General features: G+C 36.5%; 1 protein-coding gene across 9 annotated transcripts in view, besides 1 other annotated feature; it reads left to right on the top strand.

Moving 5' to 3' along the window:
- ABCD2 (ATP binding cassette subfamily D member 2) overlaps nucleotides 1–23,763 on the top strand; it is an 88,779-nt gene that overhangs the window by 38,371 nt on the left and 26,645 nt on the right. For 6 of the 9 annotated variants that reach the window (NR_182046.1, NR_182045.1, XM_017018992.3 and 3 more), the window contains 2 exons: nucleotides 1,814–1,898; nucleotides 7,592–7,717. Coding sequence is in view for 7 of the 9 variants with exons in the window: in XM_017018992.3 (XP_016874481.1) it covers nucleotides 1,814–1,898; nucleotides 7,592–7,717 (211 nt within the window). In the remaining 2 variants the exon portion in view is untranslated. Of the gene's footprint in view, nucleotides 1–1,813; nucleotides 1,899–7,591; nucleotides 7,718–8,323; nucleotides 11,586–23,763 lie in introns of those variants that run through there. The other 3 variants (NM_001412790.1, NM_001412788.1, NM_001412789.1) reach the window with 3 other exon arrangements.
- Nucleotides 6,313–7,113: an enhancer, noted in NCBI's record as "OCT4-NANOG hESC enhancer chr12:39968122-39968922 (GRCh37/hg19 assembly coordinates)". NCBI's record gives its function as "activates a minimal SCP1, AML or CMV promoter by ChIP-STARR-seq in naive and primed H9 embryonic stem cells {active_cell/tissue: H9 hESC(naive and primed)}" and the evidence as "EXISTENCE:reporter gene assay evidence [ECO:0000049][PMID:30033119]".

Here is a 23,763-nt window from a genome sequence, read left to right as displayed (position 1 = left end):
TGACAATTTCTGGAAGTTTACCCAAGAAAATGAACAGTGATTTCCTCTGGAGAGTGAGATTTCAGGTGTCACTGGGAAATCGGGAAAGTCTCCTTTTCACTCCAGATATTTTTTATTGATAATTTTTCATATATTGTATTACCTTTATTGTATGTCTTTGCTTATTTAATTTTTGGAGTAACACTTTCACATAATTCATAAATGAAAGGGCATTTTTAAATGTGCTCTAAAAAATTCTTCCAATTCCTGTTGCCTTCCATCCAGTTGCACCTATCCCCATCAGGCAACCATTGTTTTGTTTCTTTTTTATGCTTTTATACATTTTTTAATGCAATGTACTTTGTAGTGGTAATTTTAAAGGAAGAAGATGGTAAGAAACATAAAGATGCATTTTATGTTTAACAGTTAATATATGTTATTTCATCAAAGCCTCTAAACTTTTGGATTTCAAAAACAAGTCCAAATTTTTCTTCTCACCAGCAAAAGAATCAAATAATCATTTTTGATAATTTGACTTTTCAGATACACAGTACACATAAAGCAATGAGGGCTATTTTCTTTCCTGTTGACCAAGATTATTTCAAAATTTAGTGGTAAAAATTTCAAAATTTTAATGGTAAAAATTCAGCTGAGCAAGTAAAAAGATGACAGAGAACATGGATTTTTTCCAAAGATGAGAGTTAATCCCTGAACACTTAGGATTTAGAAATTTTGCTGTAAGTATCTGTTAGGTTTTGGCATCATTTTCTTGTTTGAAAATCAGACTCTCCAGCAGTGGAACTATGGTTTTATTTTTAAGTAATCTTTAAAAAATCTAATTAAAAAATTAAGGTAGGCTTATTATAAAATTTTAGAATTTTATAAAAATGAATAACTTAGGAAATGAATCTAATTCTGTTCTTGGAAGTATATGTGTAGTGTTTATTTACAGAAAGACAATGATGATATATACAATTCTGAAACTTGATTTTTAATGTACAGATATTCTGGGCACATTTTCATATTAATATACAAGACCTACTCTATTTGTAAGAAAAATAGAATGCTTGTTTTTTGAATAAATATCAAACAGAAAGTCAACAGTTAAGATGTTTTAAGAGATAGCATGCATGGAAAAACTATAAAAGCATCAGATAGACCTGAATATAAATCCCAGTTCTGACATCTCAAGATGTCACAAGAATTAGTAGCTGGCCCCATCTGGCAGCTCACACCTGTAGTCCCAGCACTTTGGAAGGCTGAGGAGGGTAAATAGCTCGAACCTAGGAGGTTGAAACCAGACATGTGTAAACCTAGACATGTCGATTACTCCATGAACTACAGTTGCTCACTTATAAAATGCAAGAAATAAAATCTGTCTTACAAAACTGTGAAATATATGATAAGAGAACTCACATAAAGTGCTAGGCACAGGAGAGCCACCTAAATTAGTTCCTTTCTTACCCTTTGTAGACTTTGTAATTGACATATGAAAATTTGTTGGGTCTTTTCTCCCATCTCCCTCCAAGATAAGTATAAGCCTATCAACCCACCGGAGACACTGAGAAACAAACACAGTTTTTAAAGTGTCAGGGTTTAGAATTCTTGTAAGATCATTTGTCAGTATAAGAAGTTATTACCATCAGAAGAATATCAAATCTAAAACAAAATGCTTATACATGAGGCTCTGTAGTTTATCCAAGCATATATCCTATAAAATACCAAGTTCTTCATGTTGACAATTTGAATTTGTCAGGAATCACTTGTCTAGGGTAGAAATAGTAACAATTAAACAAATGATTTATAAAAATGTATATTTTTTTATTTTCTTAAGGATGGGATGCTGTTATGGACTGGAAAGATGTCCTGTCAGGAGGGGAAAAGCAAAGAATGGGCATGGCTCGTATGTTTTATCATAAGTAAGTATACTAAATTCAGGTAACTACTAGGCCATTGTTGTAACCAAACCAAGCAACAATAGGAACAACAAAAGTTTGGACAGGATTTATCGTCTTCATCTGTAGCTTAAAAATATCTTACTACAAAATTAGTGCATAGAGTTCACAGTTGGTTTTTTTGTTTGTTTGTTTTTGAGACAGAGTCTCGCTCTGTCAGCCAGGCTGGAGTGCAGTGGCACGATCTTGGCTCACTGCAACCTCCGTCTCCCAGGCCCAAGCAATTCTCCTGTCTCAGCCTCCCAAGTAGCTGGAATTACAGGCGTGTGCCACCACGCCCGGCTAATTTTTGTGTTTTTAGTAGAGACGGGGTTTCACCATGTTGGCCAGGCTGGTCTTGAACTCCTAACTTCAGGTGATCCGCCCGCCTTGGCCTCCCAAAGTGCTGGGATTACAGGCGTGAGCCACCGTGACTGGCCAAATTATTTTTTCTTATAGTAGAATCTCCAAGTATTTGTTTTTCTATTTCTTTCATGTTGAGTAATGTTAGATGAAATAATGTGTACAAAGGACTAAATTAAATTTTTATGTATCCTAAGTTTGAAATAATGATTATTAATTTTAAAATATGAAGACTATACAATCACTATGATACTTGTGTAAATCCAATAGGTAGACATTCAGTAAAACTTTCTGAATTAAATTATTAAATTCAAGGTAAGTCAACTTTTTAACCATTCAGCAGCCTATTAAACCAGTAATGCTCTCCCCCTTGAAATTCAAAGCCATAGCCAATGGAAAAAGGGACCATTCTGCGTAGGTTTCAATGGATTGAGAAAAATTAAGAGGCAGGAAATAATTGCTTCTGATAAAACATTTTTAATTGTAACCAGCTTCATAGCCTTTTGAGTTTAAGGATATCAAGCAGAAGACATGGGAAGGAAATATTAAAGCCCTTCTGATTCTCCTGATTCATTCCATTCCCCCTCCCAACTCCCTTGGATCTCTGGCAATAAGAACCTGAGTTTTGCAGCACAGAAGGTTGTCAGAAACTATGTTACTCACTTTTTTTTTTTTTTTTTTTTGAGACGGAGTCTTGCTCTGTCGCCCAGGCTGGAGTGCAGTGGCACCATCTCGGCTCACTGCAAGCTCCGCCTCCCGGGTTCACGTCATTCTCCTGCCTCAGCCTCCTGAGTAGCTGGGACTACAGGTGCCCGCCACCAAGCCCGGCTAATTTTTTGTATTTTTAGTAGAGACGGGGTTTCACCGTGTTAGCCAGGATGGTCTCGATCTCCTGACCTCGTGATCCGCCCGCCTCGGCCTCCCAAAGTGCTGGGATTACAGGCGTAAGCCACCTCACCCGGCCCTCACTTTTAATAATTAAGTCTTGGGCAAAAAGGACCAAATAGTTATGTACATGAATTCATGAATGGGCCATAAATGGCAGATGCAGCACTCTTGTGTGAGTTGTTGTGAAAGTAGTAACATTTTATAGAGAACTTTAAAAATTATGTCAAGTATGTATTATCGAACACCTAGGAATTAGTTGGCCCACACTAAGCACTCAGTTGGCTCACACTAAGCACTCAGTTGGCTATTCATTTTTTTAAAAGCCTTTAATTACGGAAAAAAAGTCAAACTTCATCAAAAAAGAGAAATTGTAAGAACCCCATATTCTCATTACACTGATTTAACAAGTCTAATGTTTCGTTACACTTGATTTATCTACTCATTTTTTAAAATTTCTAAAGTATTTTAAAGCAAATCACAGGTATTATGATATTTTTCCCTAAATACTTTGAGAACAGTCTCTGAAATATTAGGATATATTCTTACATAATAACTTGTCACAATAATAATTAAATTAGTAATAATTATTTAAAGTTATTTAATATATGGTTCATATTCAAAGTTTCCCTAATTGTCTCAAAAATATCTTTTTACACTGATTTGTTCAAACCTGGATCTAAACAAGTTTCACACATTGCATTTTATTGTTACATCTCTTAATTCCTTTTTAATCTAAAGAGTCTCTCCTCCTCCCAGGCCCCACCTACCTTTTATACCTTTGACTTGCTGAAGGAATTGGGTTAATTGTCCCGTAGAATGTTGCCTATTCTAGATTTACCTCATTGCTACCTTATCAGGTAAATCTAGGTAGGGGTCCTTTATCTTGTTCCCCAATCTCCCATTTTTTTCTGTAAACTGGAAATTAGAGCAAAGAGCTTGATGAGATTTAGGTTCAGCCTTTTGAATAAGAACATAGCATAAAAAATGATTTAAAGAATTTTATTAAAATATAATATGTTCATTTTATAAAAGTAGAAAATGTATATAAGTAAAAAGAAGAAAAAATCTGTTATCTCATTAGCGATTATCTCATTAGCTGTTATCTTATTAACACTGTTAAAATTTTGGACATTTTAAATTATTCAAATTTTAAATTACTGTAACATTTAAACACTGTTAAAATTTTGGGATTTTTTTTTCCCAGTCTTGGTAATATGCAAAAATTCGTTGTTATTTTTATTATTTTGATGTAGCTATTTTCATAAAGCATATTATAATTTATATCCTTTTTATTTCATATGTAATTATGTGCTTTTCTGTATTACTATATAATAGTTAACCAGGGCTTATTGTTATTGTACTAAAGTTTATATACTAAATACACATATTTTAGGTATACAATTGGATGACTTTTATAAATGTTTCTACATTATGTAACCAATACCCCAATCAAGATAAAAAAACATTTCTGTTACCCTGGGAAGTTTACTCATCCTCCCTTCCAATCCAGTCCCCTCTAGACATTTCTGTCCTGATTTCTGTCACCATAAATTGGTTTTGCTTGTTGTATAACTTCAGGTAAATTAAATCACACACTAAATATTATTTTTGTGTTTAGCTGGGATTTTTAGTGAGAAAAATTATTAGTTGTGTTCATAACATGTTATTTATAATAATGTACATTTAAGAATATGGCTAGCTAAAAATATAAACTAAATTTTGCTAATTTGGGATTTTTAGTGATGTGTATTTTGGGATACCCCTTTCTCAGAAGATGTAGTGAAATTCAAGAGTAAACTTTACAGCTTGATCCCGGGCGCGGTGGATCACGCCTATAATCCCAGCACTTCGGGAGGGCGAGGCGGGTGGATCATGAGGACAGGAGATCCAGACCATCCTGGCCAACATAGTGAAACCCCGTCTCTACAAAAATTAAAAAAAATTAGCCAGGCATGGTGGCGGGCGCCTATAGTCCCAGCTACTCGGGAGGCTGAGGCAGCGGAATCACTTGAACCCAGGAGGCGGAGATTGCAGTGAGCCGAGATGGTGCCACTGCACTCCAACCTGGCAATAGTATGAGACTCCGTCTCAAAAACAACAACAACAACAACAACAAAAACTTTACAGCTTGGCATTTATGACCAGCTGTTACCCACTATCACCCTGAATCTGTTTGGGTCTAGGCCATAAGTACCCAGTAATATGATCACCAGCATAGAAATGTAATATGGTGGAATGTAAAATTTAGCCATAAATTTGTCACTGTATCAGTGTGTTAATAAAATAAACCTTGTAATAAATAGCAAGTGGCATTAATAAATGTTAACCCAAAGAGATTTCACATATCTGTAACCTGAAATAAATACTTGGTGTTTGTGTAACTAAAATATTTTGGATATAATGTGATAATGAGTGAAGATAAGTCACAAGTATATCAGTGGAAAGAAAATTTAGTGAGCCACATAAAGATCAATGAAGAAGAGCAAGTAGTTGAAAAGCACAATCTTTTGACAAAAGATAAAAGGAATTTTAGGTATTCAATCTAGTGAAGAGAAAGTTTAACAATAGGAAACTGCCTTCCCTCATTCTCAAATGATTTAAAGTTTGAATTGTGATGTGAAAGACTTGAGCTGGCAAAAATCAAGAACTTTAGCAGGAAGTACTAAGCATCACAATAGTATTCTCTTTTTGAGAGGATTTTAAATGTTTTAATAGCTCAAGAATGATTGAAAAACTCCTGTCTTAAGGGGATAGATTAAATCCTTCACGAAGCCCATTCTACTGATGATACACAAAGCAAAAAGGAAAGCAAATCTGAGAAACAATATTACCTAATGCTTTTTTTCTTATATCAGTATCGAATTCTAGCTATTGCTTGATATATTCAAGTACACACACAAACACACACAGACACACACCAGCCCTGCCAAGGAAACTAAAACATGTGATCTTACATCTGCTAGAGTAGAGGTTGCTATGACAACGGAGTGTAAGATGCATACATTTTTCTAATTCTAAAATGGTATATTTTCTCTGTTTCGATCAAGGCACTCTGAAAAATAAGCCAAAATGCAATAAACATGTTAATCACTGGAAAGAGGTTTACACAAAAGGAAAATTTTACTCAACCTTTCACTTTTATACTTCCTTTACTTCTTCCTCTTGTTCACTTAAAAATATCATTCATCCACAAAACAGAAAATAACTCTGAGACAAAGAAGTAATGCTTAATACTTAAACCAGAACAGTAACCAAAGGTCAAGCAGTGACACTACTTCTGTTGATGTTGTCATGGAGAACATGCACTGATCTTTTATTCTTTGCATAGGGAGCAGTTTTAGAGTCTTTGACTCCTGTATCTATTAGCCCTGACTACCTGACCTGTGGTAGGTAACTGGATTCTATTAATAAGCAAATCGATTTTAGGACAGTAACTTACAAGGCAAATAATGATTTATTCTGATAAGAAATTACTGATTTTCATTTTTTTAACTTTTTTGTCATTTTATTTTTAAAAATCAGAATTTTTTTGTAAAGAAAATTGTCCCGGCAAATACCTGATACTGATTTTCAACTCCAAATTGAATAGTAAATGACAGTGTAAGAGTTGACTTTGTTCCCATTAACTAAGCTAAGTCATGCTAAGTACCAACAGTCCAGAGGGACTTGAAAGAAGAAAGGGAAAGGACAAAGAAAAGTAAGAGCAGGGGGTGAGATGAGAGGGAGAAAGGATAAGCAGAGGGAAACAATGGCAAGTGATAAGATGCCTCTGATAACAGACAGGCATTATCAAAGTAAAAAATAAGCTTAAAAAATTGTCCAATATACTTAGAAAAATATTTACTTTTCCTCCTAAGAATTTGATTCTGGAGTATGGTTCCAATATTATGAGGTTAAATGTGTGTTATAAATTTGTAAGATGAGCCACATTCACTCTCGCAGTCTTATAGTGATGAAATTCCATTAGTAATGCTTAGGTATTCATATTGCTGATAAAATAATCTTCTCATTAAATCTTTGCTAACAGGGCTGTGGCCTGTTTGATAATTAGCTACTGCAATGTATTTTTCATGTAGTTAGTCAGACCCTTCTCACCAACAATGAACCTGCTTTCTGCAGGAAAATGTACTCAGTGACCTGCCTCATCTTTCCTATGTCCCATATTTATGATTCATTCATCTACAAGACAATAAAGCTTATTGTATTATTAGAAAGCGTCAGAAAATCTATTTAAATGTATTAAAAATGTGATATTATAGTCCAAAGAAGGGGACAACTACTTTTTTGCTTTATCATTTATTGCCTTTAATAATGCCATAGTCTTTTTTGCTCCATTAAAATTGTTAGCAATGCAACTCATATTGTCCAAAGAAAAACTTATAGTTCATATAGCAAAATAATTAATTTTTGTGTGTACTTTTTAAAAGACCAAAATATGCCTTGCTGGATGAATGTACCAGTGCTGTCAGCATTGATGTCGAAGGAAAGATATTTCAGGCTGCAAAAGGGGCTGGAATTTCCTTACTGTCTATAACACACAGACCTTCTCTTTGGTAAGTGTTTCTAGTGCTAATTTGTGGTAGATGGTTTTTCCTTAAATTTCTCAAAAAATAACTTTGCTAAATTTTTCACAGTAGAGGGTAGGGTATTTCACTTATTTTCTACCCATATTTCTCTTAAGTTGCACATTAGTAGCTTAGATACTCCCTACCTAATATCATTAGTGTATTATTTGAATTATCATCAGTTTCCAGTAATTCTTAAAAGACATGGAAAAATCCAGTGATTTATTTTAATGGAAAATATTTATCATTACCCAGTAACATGTACTGGGAAAAATATATTTATATATTTGTACATCATTCTTTTAGTCCTTTCTCTAAAACCCAGGAAAGTAAAATCTGGGGAAAAAAATATATGTACACACAACTTGATACTCCCCCAAAGGATTAAGTGGAGAAAACACAGGTGGTGGTGGGGAAGGGGGGAGGGCTTATTTTTAGTTGGTTTAAAGAAAAATGAGCTAAATTTTTTTAGAACTAATATCTCATAAAACCATATAGAATTTCCCCTTCAAATAAAGATGCTAATTTTACAATTCCCCTACTTTTCCATTGATTCATCATCATCATAATAGTTGAGCACTTATTCTGTTCCAGGTACATCTTATTTAAGCCTCACAACAACCCTGTGGAATTTAGGAAATCTAATCTTCCTATTTTACAGATGAAGAAACTGAGAACTAGAAAAGTGAGATACTTCCATGATCACATACTCTGTACTACAGCACACGGCTCTCATTATAAGGAACTCAAAGTGTATCTCATGCATTAACCATAAATACTACATTCTCTACTTTTGCATTTCTATTTAATCAATGAAAATTTTTTCTTTTGACTTCTTAGTAACTATAACTGTCTCTATATATGCTTTGGCCTCCTGTTTTCTAAAGGACTGCACAGGATTCCTCCTCTCTCTCTTTCTGGCTGCAGCATTCTGTGGCAGGTGGCTGATCAGATTTCATGCCAAAGTTGTCATGATGTACATGGCTTCAAATCTAGCCTAGTAGCAAGCATTATTGGAATTAATCCTTGAAGCCCTTCTAGACCTTTGACCTTATAAAGAATGTTTACATTAAAATTGTTAGCAAACAGTATTCATCCAATCAGGCTTTTATTGTTCAAAATTCTTTGACTCTGAGTTTCATTTATATTGAAAAGATAATCTATTTTCACACTCAGTTTAAACCTTCAGATTTTTCAGAATTTTTAAAAAATATACTTTCTGGATCTAGTCCAGCATGAGTTAGGATCCATGCCAATGAATATGCTTCCTCTGACTTTTATCCTGAAGAAGACCAACAGGACCTAGATCTTTAAGACAATAATGACATTTGCCTGTAAATCCTCTGAATCAAGGACAACACAGAGCTAGGCCAGTACTCTTGAGCCCTTTTTGGTATGAACCTTGATTTCCAGACTTTCTCCCAAATTAATCACATGTTGGGACATATTAGGCTTGGAGTTTTTCTGACCTGTGTTAATGGATTTATTATGCTATCCTGCCATTCAATTCCTTACTCAAGTAGCCTTAGGAGGCATTGAAAGCATATATAGCCATTGTTTCCTCAATTGAGGGAACAAATATTCTTTTTAAGTAAATAACAAAATCTGTAAGGCTATGCCTTTTGACAAGAAACACATTTTTAATTGCAGCTACCCAAGTACATTTCTCCACAAAACAAAACAACATGTTAGTTCTGATTTTTTTATTTAGCTTTGCCATTTCAGGTTGTCATTTCTGATTATTCTTTCTCTCAGGGAAAATAAAAATTTCATTTTCCCTGAATAGATTTCAGAAGTGGGGAAAGATGTGTCATATTTTTCCCATAACAACAAATGAGTAATTGTTGATTGTAAAGATTAAAATCAATACTAGAGTCTGAAGAAGTAAAAATTTATAGAAGCTTATTAAAATTTCTGATTCCTGGATAGAATTATAGCTGTATAACCATCACTTTCCTAAGCTTTTTCCTATTTGTGAAGGAAGTTTAAAGATTATCTCAAATGAGTTTCAGTTAAAATAGATAAACCCTGAAATATTATCTCAGCTTGTAATATAGAACATGCGTTTGAATCTCAGGGTATGAAACGCCTACACAGTTGGTTCCTCCCATGTAGAAATCAAATAATGTTGTAAGACCAGAGTGATGAGCCAAACCATCATTATACATCGAAGGTGGTGTTTGCCCAATATATGAATGACCATGTATGAGTGAGATCATGTGGTATTTGTCTTTCTGTGTCTAGCTTATTTCACTTACTATAATGTCCTCCAGGTTCTTCCATGTTTTTGTAAGTGGCGGGATTTTATTCTTTTTTACAGTGGAGTAGTATTCCATCATGTATATATATAACATTCTTTATCTTTTCATCCATTGATGGACACTAGGGTTGATTCCATATGTTGGCTGTAAAAATAGTGCTGAAATAAACATGGGAGTGCAGTTATCTCTTTGACATACTGAGATCATTTCCTTTGCATATATTCCCAGTGGGGGATTGCTGGATCATTTTGTAGTTCTATTTTTAACATTTTGAGGAACCTCCTTACTGTTTTCCATGATGGCTATACTAATTTATATTCCCACCAAAGGTGTGTAAGAGTTCCCTTTTTTCCACATCCTCACCAACACTTTCTGTCATTTTCTTAATAGCCATTCTGACAAGAGTGAGGTGATTTGAATTTACCTAATGATTAGTGTTGTTGAGCATTTTTTGATATGCCTGTTTGTCATTTGTGTGTATCTTCTTTTGAGAAATGTTCATTCAGATCTTCTGTCCATTTTGTAATCAGGTTATTCATTTTCTTGCTATTTAGTTGTTTGAATTTCTTATATATGTTGGCTGTTATCAGATATATAGTTTCCAAATATTTTCTCCAATTTGATAGGTATCTCTTCATTCTGTTGATTGTTTTCTTTGTTGCACAGAAGCTTTTGAGTTTGATGTAATCCCATTTGTCTATTTTTACTTTTGTTGCCTATGCTCTTGAGGTCATATCCAAAACTCGTTGCCCAAATTTCATTGTCATTTCAAATTTATATCCAAATTTCATTGTCATGAAATTTTTGCCCTATGTATTCTAATAATTTCAGGTCTTGCATTGAAGTCTTTAATCCATTTTGAGTTTGTTTTTGCATATGGTGAGCAATAAGGGTCAAATTTCATTCTTCTACCTGTGGATATACAGTTTCCCACAATTTATTGAGGATACTGCCCTTTCCCAATAGTGTGTTCTTGGCAACTTTGTTGAAAATCAGTTGACTATAAATACAAGGATTTATTTCTGGGTTCTCTATTCTATTCCTTAAGTCTGTGTGTCTGTTTTTGTGTCAGTACAATGCTGTTTGGGTTGCTACAGTTTGGTAGTATATTTTGACACCAGGTAGTGTGATGGCTCCAGCTTTGTACTTTATGCTCAAGAATTTTTTCACTATTTTGGGTGTTTTGCAGTTGCACACAAATTTTAGAATTTTTTTTCTATTTCTCTGAAGACTATCATTGGCATTTCCATAGGGATTGAATTGAATATGTAGATCACTTCGGGTAGTATTGACATTTTAACAATATTAATTCTTCCAATTCATAAACATGAGATATCATTTTATTTGTGTATGTGTGTCTTCTTCGATTCCTTACATTAATGTTTTATAGTTTCATTGTAGAGACCTTACACCTCCTTGCTTATATTTATGCCTAAGTGTTTAACTTTTTCTAGCTATTGAAAATGGGATTGTTTCCTTGATTTTTTTCACATAATTTGCTGTCAGTGTAGAGAAATGCTACTGATTTTTACATACTGATTTTGTATCTTGCAACTTTCCTGAATTCATTTATAAATCTAATGTTTTCTGATGGAGTCTTTAGTACTTTCTATATATAAATGTGGTACATAACATTAACAAAATGAAGGATAAGAACATGTTATCTGGGGGAGTGGAGCCAAGAGGGCTGAATAGGAACAGCTCCAGTCTACAACTCCCAGCATCAGCGATGCAGAAGACAGGTGTTTTTTGCATTTCCAACTGAGGTACCGGGTTCATCTCACTGGGGAGTGTCAGAAAGCGGGTGCAGGACAGTGGGTGCAGACCACCGAGCGTGAGGCGAAGCAGGGCGAGGCATCGCCTCACCCAGGATGCACAAGGGGTCAGGGAATTCCCTTTCCTACTCAAAGTAAGGGTTGACAGACGGCACCTGGAAAATCGGGTCACTCCCACCCTAATACTGCGCTTTTCCAACAGTCCTAGCAAACGGCACACCAGGATATTATATCCCGTGCCTGGCTCGGAGGGTACTATGCCCACGGAGCCTTGCTCATTGCTAGCACAGCAGTCTGAGATCAAACTGCAAGACGGCAGCAAGGCTGGGGAGGGGTGCCCGCCATTGCCAAGGCTTCAGTAGGTAAACAAAGCGGCAGGGAAGCTCCAACTGGGTGGAGCCCACCACAGCTCAAGGAGGCCTGCTTGGATCTGTAGACTCAACCTCTGGGGGTAGGGCATAGACAAACAAAAGGCAGCAGAATACTCTGCAGACTTAAATGTCCCTGTCTGACAACTTTGAAGAGAGCAGTGGTTCTCACAGCACACAGCTGGAGATCTGAGAACGGACAGACTGCCTCCTCAAGTGGGTCCCTGACACCCAAGTAGCCTAACTGGGATGCACCCCCAAGTAGGGGCAGACTTACACCACACACAGCTGGGTACTCCTCTGAGAAAAAAATTCCAGAGGAATGAACAGGCAGCAACATTGGCTGTTCAGGAATATTTGCTGTTCTGCAGCCTCCACAGCTGATACCCAGACAAACAGGGTCTGGAGTGGACCTCTAGCAAACTCCAACAGACCTGCAGTTGAGGGTCCTGACTGTTAGCAGGAAAACTAACAAACAGAAAGGACATGAACACCAAAACCCCATCTGTAAATCACCATCATCAAAGACCAAAGATAGATAAAACCAGAAAGATGGGGAAAAAACAGAGCAGAAAAACTGGAAACTCTAAAAATCAGAGCACCTCTCCTCCTCCAAAGGAACGCAGCTCCTCACCAGCAACGGAACAAAGCTGGATGGAAAATGACTTTGACGAGTTCAGAGAAGAAGGCTTCAGATGATCAAACTACTCCGAGCTAAAGGAGGGAGTTCGAACCCATGGAAAACAAGTTAAAAACCTTGAAAAAAAATTAGACGAATGGCTAGCTAGAAAAACCAATGCAGAGAAGTCCTTAAAGGACCTGAGGGAGCTGAAAACCATGGCACGAGAATGAACATGGTGAATGCACAAGCCTCAGTAGCCGATTCAATCAACTGGAAGAAAGGGTATCAGTGATGGAAGATCAAATGAATGAAATGAAGTGAGAAGAGAAGTTTAGAGAAAAAGGAATAAACAGAAATGAACAAAGCCTCCAAGAAATATGGGACTATGTGAAAAGACCAAATCTACATCTGATTGGTGTACCTGAAAGTGACGGGGAGAATGGAATCAAGTTGGAAAACACTCTGCAGGATATTATCCAGGAGAACTTCCCCAATCTAGCAAGGCAGGCCAACATTCAAATTCACGAAATACAGAGAATGCCACAAAGATACTCCTCAAGAAGAGCAACTCCAAGACACATAATTGTCAGATTCACCAAAGTTGAAATGAAGGAAAAAATGTTAAGGGCAGCCAGAGAGAAAGGTGGGGTTACCCACAAAGGGAAGCCCATCAGACTAACAGCTGATCTATCAGCAGAAACTCTACAAGCCAGAAGAGAGTGGGGGCCAATATTCAACATTCTTAAAGAAAAGAATTTTCAACCCAGAATTTCATATCCAGCCAAACTAAGCTTCATAAGTGAAGGAGAAATCAAATCCTTTACAGACAAGCAAATGCTGAGAGATTTTGTCACCACTAGGCCTGCCCTAAAAGAGCTCCTGAAGGAAGCACTAAACATGGAAAGGAACAACCGGTACCAGCCACTGCAAAAGGATGCCTAATTGTAAAGACCATGCAGACTAGGAAGAAATTGCATCAACTAATGAGCAAAATAATCAGCTAACATCATAATGACAGGATCAAATTCACACAATATTAACCTTAAATGTAAATGGGCTAAATGCTCCAATTAAAAGACACAAATTGGCAAATTGGATAAAGAGTCAAGACTCATCAGTGTGCTGTATTCCCCAGACCCATCTCATGTTCAGAGACACACATAGGCTCAAAATAAAGGGATAGAGGAAGATCTACCAAGCAAATGGAAAACAAAAAATGCAGGGGTTGCAATCCTAGTCTCTAATAAAAGAGACTTTAAACCAACAAAGATCAAAAGAGACAAAGAAGGCCATTACATAATGGTAAAGGGATCAATTCAACAAGAAGAGCTAACTATCCTAAATATATATGCACCCAATACAGAAGCACCCAGATGCATAAAGCAAGTCCTCAGAGACCTAGAAAGAGACTTAGACTCCTGCACAATAATATTGGGAGAGTTTAACACCCCACTGTCGACATTAGACAGATCAATGAGACAGAAAGTTAACAAGCATATCCAGGAATTGAACTCAGCTCTGCACCAAGCAGACCTAATAGACATCTACAGAACTCTCCACACCAAATCAACACAATATACATTCTTCTAAGCACCACACCACACCTATTCCAAAATTGACCACATAGTTGGAAGTAAAGCACTCCTCATCAAACGTAAAAGAACAGAAATTATAACAAACTGTCTCTCAGACCACAGTGCAATCAAATTAGAACTCAGGATTAAGAAACTCACTCAAAACCGCTAAACTACATGGAAACTGAACAACCTGCTCCTGAGTGACTACTGGGTACATAACAAAATGAAGGCAGAAATAAAGATATTCTTTGAAACCAATGAGAACAAAGACACAACGTACCAGAATTTCTGGGACACATTCAAAGCAGTGTGTAGAGGGAAATTTATAGCACTAAATGCCCACAACAGAAAGCAGGAAAGATCTAAAATTGACACCCTAACATCACAATTAAAAGAAATAGAGGAGCAAGAGCAAACACATTCAAAAGCTAGCAGAAGGCAAGAAATAACTAAGATCAGAGCAGAACTGAAGGAAATAGAGACACAAAAAACCTTTCAAAAAAATCAATGAATCCAGGAGCTGGTTTTTTGAAAAGATCAACAAAATCGATAGACCGCTAGCAAGACTAATAGAGAAGAAAAGAGAGAAGAATCAAATAGATGCAATAAAAAATGATAAAGGGAATATCACCACTGATCCCACAGAAATACAAACTACCATCAGCAAACACTATAAACACTTCTATGCAAACAAACTAGAAAATCTAGAAGAAATGGATAAATTCCTCGACACAAACAACCTCCCAAGACTAAACCAGGAAGAATTTCAATCTCTGAATAAACCAATAACAGGCTCTGAAATTGAGGCAATAATTAATAGCTTACCAACCAAAAAAACTCCAGGACCAGACGGATTCACAGCCGAATTCTACCAGAGGTACAAGGAGGAACTGGTACCATTCTTTCTGAAACTATTCCAATAAATAGAAAAAGAGCGAATCCTCCCTAACTCATTTTATGAGGCCAGCATCATCCTGATACCAAAGCCGGGCAGAGACACAACAAAAAAAGAGAATTTTAGACCAATATCCCAGATGAACATTGATGCAAAAATCCTCAATAAAACACTGGCAAACTAAATCCAGCAGCACATCAAAAAGCTTATCCACCATGATCAAGTGGGCTTCATCCCTGGGATGCAAGGCTGGTTCAACATATGCAAATCAATAAATGTAATCCAGCATGTAAACAGAACCAATGACAAAAACCATAAGATTATCTCAATAGATGCAGAAAAGGCCTCTAACAAAATTCAACAACCCTTCATGCTAAAAACTCTCAATAAATTAGGTATTGATGGGATGCATATCAAAATAATTAGAGCTATCTATGACAAACCCACAGCCAATATCATACTGAATGAGCAAAAACTGGGAGCATTCCCTTTGAAAACTGGCACAAGACAGGGATGCCCTCTCTCACCACTCTTATTCAACATAGTGTTAGAAGTTCTGGCCAGGGCAATCAGGCAGGAAAGGAAATAAAGGGGATTATATTAGGAAAAGAGGAAGTCAAGTTGTCCCTGTTTGCAGATGAAATGATTGAATACCTAGAAAACCCCATTGTCTCAGCCCAAAATCCCCTTAAGCTGATAAGCAACTTCAGCAAAGTCTCAGGATACAAAATCGATATGCAAAAATCACAAGCATTCTTATACACCAATAACAGACAAACAGAGAGCCAAATCATGAGTGAACTCCCATTCACAATTGCTTCCAAGAGAACAAAATACCTAGGAATCCAACTTACAAGGGATGTGAAGGACCTCTTCAAGGTGAACTACAAACCACTGCTCAATGAAATAAAAGAGGATACAAACAAATGGAAGAACATTCCATGCTCATGGGTAGGAAGAATCAATATCGTGAAAATGGCCATACTGCCCAAAGTAATTTATAGATTCAATGCCATCCCCATCAAGCTACCAATGACTTTCTTCACAGAATTGGAAAAAACTACTTTAAAGTTCATATGGAACCAAAAAAGAGCCCATATTGCCAAGTCGATCCTAAGCTAAAAGAACAAAGCTGGAGGCATCACGCTACCCGACTTCAAACTATACTACAAGGCTACAGTAAACAAAACAGCATGGTACTAGTACCAAAACAGAGATATAGCCAATGGAACAGAACAGAGCCCTCAGAAATAATGCCGCATATCTACAACCATCTGATCTTTGACAAACCTGACAAAAACAAGCAATGGGGAAAGGATTCCCTATTTAATAAATGGTGCTGGGAAAACTGGCTAGCCATAAGTAGAAAGCTGAAACTGGATCCCTTCCTTACACCTTATACAAAAATTAATTCAAGATGGATTCAAGACTTAAATGTTAGACCTAAAACCATAAAAACCCTAGAAGAAAACCTAGGCAATACCATTCAGGACATAGGCATGGGCAAGGACTTCATGTCTAAAACACCAAAAGCAATGGCAACAAAAGCCAAAATTGACAAATGGGATCTAATTAAACTAAAGAGTTTCTGCACAGCAAAAGAAACTACCATTAGAGTGAACAGGCAACCTACAGAATGGGAGAAAATTTTTGCAATCTACTCATCTGACAAATGGCTAATATCCAGAATCTACAATGAACTCCAACAAATTTACAAGAAAAAAACAAACAACCCCATCAAAAAGTGGGCAAAGGATATGAACAGACACTTCTCAAAAGAAGACATTTATGCAGCCAAAAGACACATGAAGAAATGCTCATCATCATTGGCCATCAGAGCAATGCAAATCAAAAACCACAGTGAGATACCATCTCACACCAGTTAGAATGGCGATTATTAAAAAGTCAGGAAACAACAGGTGCTGGAGAGGATGTGGAGAAATAGGAACACTTTTACACTGTTGGTGGGACTGTAAACTAGTTTAACCATTGTGGGAGTCAGTGTGGCGATTCCTCAGGGATCTAGAACTAGAACTACCATTTGACCCAGCCATCCCATTACTGGGTATATACACAAAGGATTATAAATCATGCTGCTATAAAGACACATGCACACATATGTTTATTGTGGCACTCTACACAATAGCAAAGACTTGTAATCAAGCCAAATGTCCAACAATGATAGACTGAATTAAGAAAATGTGGCACATATACACCATGGAATACTATGCAGCCATAAAAAATGATGAGTACATGTCTTTTGTAAGGACATGGATGAAGCTGGAAACCATCATTCTCAGCAAACTATCGCAAGGACAAAAAAACCAAACACCACATGTTCTCACTCATAGGTGTGAATTGAACAATGAGAATACATAGACACAGGAAGGGGAATATCACACACAGGGGCCTGTTGTGAGGTGAGGGGAGGGTGGAGGGATAGCATTAGGAGATATAACTAATGTTAAATGATGAGTTAATGGGTGCAGCACACCAACATGGCACATGTATACATATGTAACTAACCTGCATGTTGTGGACATGTACCCTAAAACTTAAAGTATAATTAAAAAGAAAAAAGAACATGTTATCTGCAGCCAGGAACAATTTATCTTTTTCCTTTATTTAACTTTTTCCTTTATTTATCTTTTTCCTTTCAAATTCAGATGCCTTTTATTTCTTTTTCTTGCCTAATTGCTCTGGGTAGGACTTTCAGTAGTACACTGAATGTAAGTGGCAAAAGTGAGCGTTCTTATTCTTACCTTGTTCCGTATCTTACAGAAAACATGTTATTTTTGTTTGTTTGTTTGTTTAGAGTCAGGGTCTCACTCTGTCACCCAGGCTGGACTGCAGAGGTGTGATCATATCTCACTGCAACCAAAAAACCCCTAGGATCAAGTGATCCTCCCACCTTGGCCTCCCGAAGTACTAAGATTTACAGGCATGAGCCACCATGCCTGGTTGCAGAGGGAAAGTTTTAAACTTTTCCCTTTTCAGTATAGATGTTAGCTGTGGGCTTGTCACATATGGTCTTTATTTTGTTGAGCTATGTTCCTCCTATGCTTAGTTTGTTGAGTGTTTTTAGCATAAAAGGATGTTCAATTTTATCAAATGCTTGTTCTGTGTCAATTAAGATAATCATATTTTTTGTCCTTCATTTTGTTAATGTTATGTACCACATTTATTGCTTTGCATATGTTCAACCTTTCTTGCATCTCCAGGATGAATTCCACGTGATCATGGTGAATGACCTTTTTAAAGTGCTGTTGAATTCAGTTTGCTGGTATTTTGTTGATGATTTTTGCACCTATGTTCATCAGGGATATTGGCCTGTAGTTTTCTTTTTCTTGTTGTTGTCTTTTTGTTTGGTTTCAGTATCAGGGTAATGCTGGCCTTGTAGAATAAGTTTGGATGTATTCCTTCCTCTTCAATTTTTGGAATAGTTTGAGAACTAATATTAGTTCTTTAAATATTTGGTAGAATTTGGTAGTTAAGCCATCAGATTCTGGGACTTTCTTGATGTGATTCCATTTCCTTATTTGTTATTTGTCTGTTGACATTTTCTGTTTCTTCATAGTTCAATCTTTGTAGGTTGTATGTGTTCAAAATTTATTCGTTTCTTCTAGGTTAATCAATTTGTTGGTTTATAATTGTTTACAACAGTCTCATCATTCTTTGTATTTCTGTAGTATTAATTATAATTTCTCTTTTTTAATCTCTGAATTTATTTATTTGAATCTTCTTTCTTTTTTCTTATTCTAGATAAACATTTGTCAAATTTGGTTATCTTTGAAAAAATCAATTATTCATTTTTGCTGATATTTTATGTTGTTTTTCCAGGCTCTATTTTATTTGTTTCCACTCTGATGTATATTATTTCCTTTCTTTTACTAGTTTTGGTTTGGATTTGTTCTTGTTTTCCAGTTCCTTGACCTACAATATTAGGTTGTTTATTTGACATTTTTAATCTATTTTGATGCAGGTATTTGTTGCTATAAATTTTCCTGTTTAAATTGCTTTTGCTGTATTCTACAGATTTGGTATGTTGTGTTTCCATTTTTGTTTTCAGAAGAAAATTTTTAAAATTTTTCTTTTAATTTCTTTATTGACCCATTGGTTAACCAATATCATGTTGTTTAATTTCTATGTATTTGTAAGTTTCCAAAGTTCTTCCTGTTTATTGATTTCTAGGTTTATATCATTCAAGAGAGAAAAGACACTTGATATAATTTCAATCTTCTTAAATTTTTGAAGACTTGTTTTATGGCATTACATGTGATCTATCCTGGAGAATGTTCCATGTGTAGTTGAGAAGAATGTATATTCTGAAGCTTTTTGATGAAATTTTCTATAAATGTTTGTTAGATCCATTTGGTTTAGAATATAGCTTAAATCTGGTGTTTCTTTCTTGATTTTCTGTCTGGATGATCTAATTGCTGAAAGTAGGGTGTTGAAGTCTCCTACTCGTATTGTAGTTCACTTCTTTCAGATCTAGGAGTATTTGATTTATATATGTGCTCTGATGTTGGGTTCAAATATATTCAGAATTATCATATCTTCTTGCTGAATTGACCTGTTTATTATTATATAATAACATTCTTGGCCTCTTTTATAGCTTTCACTTAAAGTCTATTTTACCTGACATTAGTATAGCTACTCCTGATGCCTTTTAGTTTTCATTTGGATAAAATATCTTTTGCATTCCTTCACTTTTAGTCTATATTGTCCTTGCAGATGAAGTGAGTCTCCTGTAAGCAGCGCACAGTTGGGTCTTGCTTTTTAATCCAGACACTGTCTTTTTTTTTTTTTTTTTTGAGACAGAGTCTTGCTTTGAAGCCCAGGCTGGAGTGCAGTGGTGTGATCTCAGCTCACTGCAACCTCTGCTTCCAGGTTCAAGTGATTCTCCTGCCTCAGCCTCCTTAGTAGCTAGGATTACAGGGGTCCACCACAAAACCCAGCTATTTTTTTTTTTAGTAGAGACGGGGTTTCACCATGTTGGCCAGGCTGGTCTCAAACTCCTGACCTCAAGTGATCTGCCCACCTCAGCCTCCAAAAGCACTGAGATTACAGACGTGAGCCACTGCACCTGGCCCAGAAACTATGTGTTTTAATTGGAGAACTTAATCCATTAATATTCAAGGTAATTATTAATAGGTAAGGAATTACTCCTGTCATTTTGTTAATTGCTTTCTAGTTGTTTTGTAGATATTTTCTTCCTTTTTTCTTCTCACAGTCTTTCTTTGTGGGTAAGTGATTTTCTTTAGTAATATGCTTTGATTCCTTGCTTTTTATTTTTAGTGCGTCTACTACAGATTTTTGCTCTGTAGTTACCATGAGGCTTACCAAAAACATCTTATAGTTAAACATGTTATTTTTGTACCTATTATATGTTTTTGCTTCATGGTTACCATGAGGCTTATAAAAACATCTTATAACATGTTATTTTAAGTTCATAACAACTTTAATTTAATTGCAAAAAAGGCACAATCTTTACCCTTTATCTCCCCATTTTGAATTTTTAATATCACAATTTACATCTTTTTATATTGTATATATGTTAACAGATTATTTTAGTTGTTAAAGTATATACAAATTGCAAAAAAACACAACCTTTACCCTTCATCTCCCCATTTTGAATTTTTAGTGTCACAATTTACATCTTTTTATATTGTATATACTTTAACAAATTATTTTAATGGTTATAATTTTTAATAGTTTTGTCTTTTTGTCTTCATACTAAAGAAATAAGTGATTTACCAATAGCAAAGACTTGGAACCAACCCAAATGTCCATCAATGATAGACTGGATTAAGAAAATGTGGCACATATACACCATGGAATACTATGCAGCCATAAAAAAGGATGAGTTCATGTCCTTTGTAGGGACATGGATGAAGCTGGAAACCATCATTCTCAGCAAACTATCACAAGGACAAAAAACCAAACACCACATGTTCTCACTCATAGGTGGGAAGTGAACAATGAGAACACTTGGACACAGGAAGGGGAACATCACACACCGGGGCCTGTTGTGGGGTGGGGGCAGCAGGGAGAGATAGCATTAGGAGATATACCTAATGTAAATGATGAGTTAATGGGTGCAGCACACCAACATGGCACACGTATACGTATGTAACAAACCTGCACATTGTGCACATGTACCCTAGAACTTAAAGTATAATAAAAAAAAGAAATAAGTGATTTACATAACCCCTTTATATTATTTGAGTATTCTGAATTTGACTGTTTACTTGCTTTTACCAGTGAGTTTTATACTTTCTAATGTTTTCTTATTACCCATTAGCATCATTTCTTTCAATGTGAAGAACTCCCTTTAGTACTCCTTATAAGACATATCTGGTGGTGATAAAGCCCCTCAGCTTAGTTTGTGTGGGAAAGTCTATCTCTTTCATTTCCAAAGGACAATTTTGCTAAGAACAGAATTCTTGGCTGAAAGGTTTTTTCCCTTCAGCACGTTGAATATGTAATTCCATTCTCTCCTGGCCTGTGAGGTTTCTGCTGAAAAAGCTGGTAACAGTCATATTAGAACTCCCTTATGTGTTATTTTTTTTTCTTGCTTTCAGGTTTCTCTCTTTGTCTTTGGTTTTTGGCAGTTTGATTGTAATATATCATCGGGTAGTCTTATTTGGATTGAGTATGATTGAAGACTTTTGACCTTCCTGTACCTAGATAGTTATATGTCTCCAGATTTTGAAATGTTTCTGCTATGATTTATTTAAATAAGCTTTATAAATCTTTATCTTTCTTAACTCCTTCTTGAATACCAACAACTCATATATTTCCTTTTTTTTTTTTTTTTTTTTTTTGGAGCTGGAGTCTCACTCTTGTCACCCAGGCTGGAGTGCAATGGTGTGATCTTAGCTCACTGCAACCTCCGCTTCCTGGATTCAAGCAATTCTCCTGCCCTGCCTCAGCATCCCAAATAGCTGAGAGTACAGGCACACACCACCACGCTGGGCTAATTTTGTATTTTTAGTAGAGACAGGGTTTCACCAGGTTGGTCAGGCTGGTCTTGAACTCCTGACCTCACATTATCCACCCACCTCAGCCTCCCGAAGTGATGGGATTACAGGCATGAGCCACCATGTCCAGGCGACATTTGCTCTTTTGATGCTATTCCATAAGTCCCATAAGCTTTCTTCATTCCTTTTCATTCTTTCTTCATATCATAAGTTTGCAAGTAACCTGTTTTCAAGTTCACATATTTTTTTCTTCTGTTTGATAAATTCTGCTATTGATGTCTCCATTGCATTTTTAATTTTTTTCATTGTATTTTTCAGCTCCAGCATTTCTGGCTTTTTTCCCATTATTTCATATCTGTTGCATTTCTCTAATAGATTTCTGAATTGTTTCTCTGTATTTTATTGAAGTGCGCTGTATTAGTTCATTTTCATACTGCTATAAAGAACTGCCTGAGACTGGATAATTTATAAAGAAAAGAGGCTTAATTGACTCACAGTTCAGGATGGCTGGGGAGGCCTCAGAAAACTTATGATCGTGGCAGAAGGTGAGGGGGAAGCAAAGCACCTTATTCACAAGGTGGCAGGAAGGAGAATGAACTCAGGAGGAACTACAAAACACTTATAATACCATCAGATCTCAAGAGAATTCAATCACTATCATGAGAACAACATGGGGGAAACCCCATCATGATCCAATTGCCTCCACCTGGTCTTTCCCTTGACACGTGGAGATTTTGGGGAATACAATTCAAGATAAGATTTTGGGTAAGGAAACAGCCAAACTGTATCATTTCGCCCTGGCCCCTCCCAAATCTTATGTCCTCACTTTCAAAACATAATCATGCCCTTCCAACAGCCCCTCAATGTCTTAACTCATTCCAGCATTAACCCAAGAGTCCAAGTCCAAAGTTAGTTACTTCCTAGATATAATGGGGGTACATGAAATGGGCAAATACACCCATTCCAAATTGGCCAAAAAGAAGGGGCTATAGGCCCTGTGCAAATCCTAAATCCAGTGGATCAGTCAAATCTTAAAGCTCTGAAATAATCTTTAACTCCATATCTCACATCCAGGTGCTGCTGATGCAAGAGTTGGGCTCCCATAGCCTTGGGCTGCTCACCCCTGTAGCTTTGCAGGGTATGGCTGCTTTCATGGGCTGGCATTGAGTGTCTGCTGCTTTTCCAGGTGCATGGTGCAAGCTGTTAGTGGATCTACCATTCTGTGGTCTGGGGGATGGTGGCCCTCTTCTCACAGCTCCACTAGGCAATGCCCCAGTGGGGGCTCTGACCTCACATTTTCCTTCTGCACTACCCTAGCAATGGTTCTCCATAAGGGCTCTGACCCTGCAGCAAACTTCTGCCTGGACATCCAGGTGTTTCCATACATCCTCTGAAATCTAGGCAGAGCTTTCCAAACCTCATTTCTTGACTTCTGTGCACCACAGGTCCAACCACCAAGGACTGGGGCTTGTACCCTCAGAAGGAATGGCCTGAGCTGTACCTTGGCCCATTTTAGCCACAGCTGGGACATAGGGCACCAAGTCCTGAGACTG

The sequence above is a fragment of the Homo sapiens genome, chromosome 12 (genome assembly GCF_000001405.40).
Source record: "Homo sapiens chromosome 12, GRCh38.p14 Primary Assembly".
In the NCBI taxonomy this organism is placed as follows: domain Eukaryota; kingdom Metazoa; phylum Chordata; class Mammalia; order Primates; family Hominidae; genus Homo; species Homo sapiens.
The sequence above is the reverse complement of the archived record's forward strand: the minus strand, read 5'-3'. Positions and strand labels throughout refer to the sequence as shown.